The sequence below is a fragment of the Homo sapiens genome, chromosome 7, assembly GCF_000001405.40.
Source record: "Homo sapiens chromosome 7, GRCh38.p14 Primary Assembly".
Classification (NCBI taxonomy): Eukaryota; Metazoa; Chordata; class Mammalia; order Primates; family Hominidae; genus Homo; species Homo sapiens.
The window spans coordinates 1,353,013-1,358,217 of NC_000007.14; the positions used below are offsets into that span (position 1 = coordinate 1,353,013).

General features: G+C 55.3%; 1 annotated feature.

Annotated features, from left to right (window-relative positions):
* Positions 4,830–4,879: a silencer, noted in NCBI's record as "silent region_17849". NCBI's record gives its function as "represses an Ori minimal core promoter by ATAC-STARR-seq in GM12878 lymphoblastoid cells {active_cell/tissue: GM12878}" and the evidence as "EXISTENCE:reporter gene assay evidence [ECO:0000049][PMID:35858748]".

The following is a 5,205-nucleotide window of genomic DNA, read 5'->3' on the forward strand; positions in this document are numbered from 1 at the left end:
CTCCAGGTGAGGTGTGACTGCCCTGTTCAATTAAATCCTCCGTCTGCACCTCGGCCTGGGTGGCGGCGGCGGGCAGGAGACCCCGCAGCAGCTTCCGCGCGGCATGTCCCCTGCCCACCGCCTTCCCCACCCACTGGGCTCTGAACAGCAGACCTGGGGTTTCCAAAAAAATCAACTGTCAGCCGCGCGCGGTGGCTCACGCCTGTCATCCCAGCACTTTGGGAGGCCGAGGTGGACAGATCACCTGAGGTCAGGAGTTCAAGACCAGCCTGGCCAACATGGTGAAATCCCGTCTCTACAAAAAAAAAAAGAAAAAAAAAAAGTAGAAAAATAAGCCGGGCATGGTAGTGTGCGCCTGTAATCCCAGCTACTCGGGAAGCTGAGGCAGAAGACGCGCTTGAATCCAGGAGGTGGAGGTGGCAGTGAGCTGAGATTGTGCCACTGCACTCCAGCCTGGGCAACAGAGCAAGACCCCGTCTCAAAACAAAATAATAATAAAAATAAATTGAAATCGAGAGGAACGTTAGACAAACCCGAATTGATGGACATTCTACAAATATCCTGCCTGGACTTTTTGAAAATGTTAATTGCAGAAAAGATGAAGAAAGGCTGAGGGTCCCAGGCTGAAGGAGATGGGAGTGGTGTGCAGAGACAGCACCCTGTGGCCGTGGGCTGGATTCGGGACTCGGGATATGGTGGGATAAAGGGCATGATTTAAATGTGGGCCATGGAGCGGCCACCATCAACAAGACCTTGTCTTATTCTGCTCTAGTTGGTCACAAATGCAGAACCTCGGGCCCTGTCCCTGGCCAACTACACATTTTTAATTTTGCTTTTTTTTTTTTTTTTTTTTTTGAGACAGAGTCTCACTCTGTCACCCAAGCTGGAGTGCAGTGGTGTAATCTCACCTCATTGCAACCCCTGCCTCCTGGGTTCAAGCGATTCACCTGCCTCAGCCTCCTGAGTAGCTGAGATTACAGGTGCCCGCCACCACACCCAGTTAATTTTTGTATTTTTAGTAAAGACGGGGTTTCACCATGTTGGCCAGGCCGGTTTTGAACTTCTCACTCACCTCCAATGATCTGCCCGCCTCAGCCTCCCAAAGTGCTGGGATTACAGGCGTGAGCCACCTGTGTCCAAACCCTGGCTCGTTTCCTTGCAGGGCAATCTGTTTCCTCCTGTGTCTAAGCTTTGTCACCTGCGACATGGAGGTGCCTGAGGCACAGGCCTGTCGGGGATCCTGTATGGCCATGGTGTTGGTGACAGTGCAGGCAGGGGCAGGTTCCCGGCGAGGCTCTCTGAGCCCAGGCCTCTGCAGCTCACCGGGCAAGTACGGTTTCTCCGCTGCCCTGTCCATAGGCGCCACGCCGACCCCAAATCATTTGCACCCAGCACCTCTGTTTGGTGAAGACGATTTTGCAAACAGCAACTAGTTTAGATATCTAGAATGTTTCCCCAAAGCCTAGCACCCTTCAATTCCACCCTTTAATCACAATGAATAAAGCTGCACAGGACGTTGACTTCAGTGACGCAGGCGCTGGGGTGCCATTCTGTGCAGAGATGTTAAGGAAAATGCTTGGGAAACGGTTATAGCAAAGCATCAGCTCCCTCACCCCTTGCTCAGCACTCTGTGTCCAGGCCTTGCAGGTGCTGAGGACGCCCCATACCCAGGACGGCCCACCATGCCCAGGGAGCTCCTCTGCTGATGCCCACTGAGCCGGGAAGCACTTCCGTGCATGGCCCAGCCAGGCGGGAGAGTGCATTTGCTTTCTAGACGGAAGCAGGCTCCTTGCTCACCATCCCACGTTGCCCCTGGTTACCCTCCTCGCCCGGCCCTCTCCACAGTCCTCTGAGCAAGTGGGGGCCATCCCATTGCACGAATGGCCCAGAGCGGTGCATACTTTCCTGAGGCTGCCCAGACTGTGAGGGGTCAGGGGCACAGGGCTTCTGTCTCCAAGCTGCCTTGGGGCTGCTCCCAAGGGTGGGTCTGGCCCTGTCGGCCCCGCAGGCCCGCCTATCCCCACCCCCTGCTCACCTGCCCTGCACCTGCCGCCCCTCCCCTCGGGGCTGCCCCCGTCCCGGTCTTCGGCATCCAGCCTGGGAAGAGCCACCCAGCTATTTACCATGGACTCATTTAAGTTGGTTAATTTTTAATAATGTTGAAATTTCCATGTGAATAATTCAGGTAAATTATTTATTAAAGCGCAGGATAAAGGGACCAGGACAATTACCAGCTGACAGTGTTAGCTGCGGCATGGTGAGGTGGGTGAGGTGGGCGCGGTGCAGGCGGGAGGGAAGGCCTGCGGATGGGCGGTGTCACACTGACCCTCACCCTGGACACCAGGCCTAGGAGGGCTTGGCAGGGATGCCCTCCAAACCCTCTTCTCCCTCCACGGCCCCACTAACAGCCTGGCCACCTGACCCTGCAGCCAGATGGCCCCTGGCTCCCTCCTGAGCTCCATGCACCCACCTCCAGCCGCTTCCCTTACACCCCTGCGGCCCCTCTGGCATGAGGGAAGCCTGGAATCCGTCTGCCGAGGCCGGAGGGAAGTTTTCTATGCACCAATCTCATTCCGTCAGCCCGAGTCAGCCCCATGGCAGTGACTGACCATTGCACTTAGATAGGACACCCTGGACCCTGCGAGGCTCCTGGGGCCTGGCCAGCCTCGCTCCCCACTGCAGCCCGTGGCAGCCACTGGCTCCTCTGTGACCCTGCATGGCTGTTCCTCCTGCTGGCACAACGCTCCCTGAAGCCTCGCCCGCCCCGCCCACCATTCCAGCAGGAAGGGGCGGCAGCCACACCAGTCTGGGCGGTGTCCTCTGCATGTCAGCCAGCCCCTATGGGGTTCTGTGAGTTTGGCCCGACAGGCAGGGCAGGGGCTGCCCCAGAAGGGCCCCTCGACATCGGGAGCTGCCCCTCTGCTGCCCCCTGCCCAGCTGGACAGTCACCTCCACCCTCCCAGGGACTCCTGGCCAGCGCCCAAGAGCCCCCAACTCTGCTCTTTCCACACCCCTTACCCCACCAAGGCACCCAGGCCTGACGCCTCCTCTCTGTGGTCACCTGGGTCACCGTTCACGCCATCTCCTTGCTGCCTCCCGCCTTGTCCTCAACAGCCCTGAAGTCCGTCCTCCACTCAGCTTCTCAGGTGGTTCTCAAAGGTTAACACAACCATGTCCCTCCTGCTCCAAACCCTCCATGGCTCCTGAGTGCCCCTGGAATAGAGCCCAGGCTCCTCCGGGATCTGCAGGTGCCGCCTGCCTCTGCCATTCTCCGTCAGCCCACGTCAAGATGCCCCAAAAACATGAAACCCATCCAGATCCCAAAGTCCCAAAGACACAGTGCCAAAGAAAGTGTAAAACTTCTCAACATTGTGATTCCACGGCAAATGATAGTATTTGGGATAGGTTGAATTACATAAAACACATTATTAAAATTAATTTTACCTGCTTCTTTTGTTTTCTTCCTTCCTTCCTTCCTTCTTCCTTCCTTCCTTCCTTTTTTTTTTTTTTTTTTTGACAGGGTCTTACTGTGTCATCCACGCTGGAGTGCAGTGGTGTGGCCTCGGCTCACTGCAACCTCGACCTCCTGGGCTCAATGGTTTCTCCCATCTCAGCCTCCCAAGTAGCTGGGATTACAGGCACATGCCACCGTGCCGAGCTAACTTTTTTTAGTCTCACTATGTTGCCCAGGCTGGTCTCAAACTCCTGACCTCAAGTGATCCGCCTGCCTCAGCCTCCCCAAGTGCTGGGATGACAGGCGTGAGCCACCGCACCTGGCCTTCATTTTCCTTTGCGGTGCCTGTCACCTGCGTTATTATCATGGACATGTGTGTATCTGGTCACTGCCTGTCCGTGAGCAATGTGAGGACAGGAATGTGTCTGTCGTGGTCCCTGCAGTGTCCTCAGCACACAGTAGGTAAATCTTCAGCGCACAGTAAGCATAGCTTCAGCTTCAGTTCAGGACAATCGTGTCAGCAACACATAGTAGGTGTGCAGCACACAGTAGGTAAATCCTCAGCACACACTAGATAAATCTTTAGCACACAGTAGGTCAATCCTCAGCACATAGTAGGTAAATCCTCAGCACACAGTAGGTAAATCCTCAGCACACAGTAGATAAATCTTCAGCGCACAGTAGGTGAATCCTCAGCACATAGTAGGTAAATCCTCAGCACACAGTAGGTAAATCCTCAGCACACACTAGATAAATCTTTAGCGCACAGTAGGTAAATCCTCAGCACATAGTAGGTAAATCCTCAGCACACAGTAGGTAAATCCTCAGCACACACTAGATAAATCTTTAGCGCACAGTAGGTAAATCCTCAGCACATAGTGGGTAAATCCTCAGCACACAGTAGGTAAATCCTCAGCACATAATAGGTAAATCCTCAGCACACAGTAGGTAAATCCTCAGCACACAGTAGACAAATCTTTAGCGCACAGTAGGCATTTCCTCAGCACACAGTAGATAAATCTTTAGTGCACAGTAGGTAAATCCTCAGCACACAGTAGGTAAATCCTCAGCACACACTAGATAAATCTTTAGCGCACAGTAGGTAAATCCTCAGCACACAGTAGATAAATCTTTAGCGCACAGTAGGTAAATCCTCAGCACACGACAATTGTGTCATCAACACATAACAGGCGTGCAGCACACAGTAGGCATTTCCTCAGCACACAGTAGGTATGCAGTGCCTGCAGGAATGGAGCCCTGGAGGTCTACTGGACGGGGCAGCACTGCAGCTGGGAGTGGAGGAACCTGAAGGAGCAGACTGGGGGGCCCCACGAGGGGCCACGGGACACCCAGGGAGGGTGGGGAGCTGCTTAGAAGAGGTTGGAGCCCAGGGAGGGCCTGGGTGGGACTGTCACGGGGCGAGTGGAGAGATGGGCTGTGGGCCGAGACCCAAGGCTATAAACTGGGAGGGGCCGTGAGCCCGCCCACGGGGAGCAGCGATCCACAGCCGCCTCTGTGGAGCCCGATGTGTCTCAGCCCTTCCTCCCCTACGGGCCTCTCCATTTGCCGCCTCACACGTCTGCAACACCTTCTCTCGGAGGCCTCATAGGAACCCGGGTGGGAGACTGGGTTCTCCCCATTTTCCAGATGAGGACGCTGAGGCCCCAGGCGGCACATGGAGCCAGGGCTCATGCCCAGGTGTGTGCAACCCCAAAGTCCTTACAACCCGGCCCCACACTCCCTCACAGGCA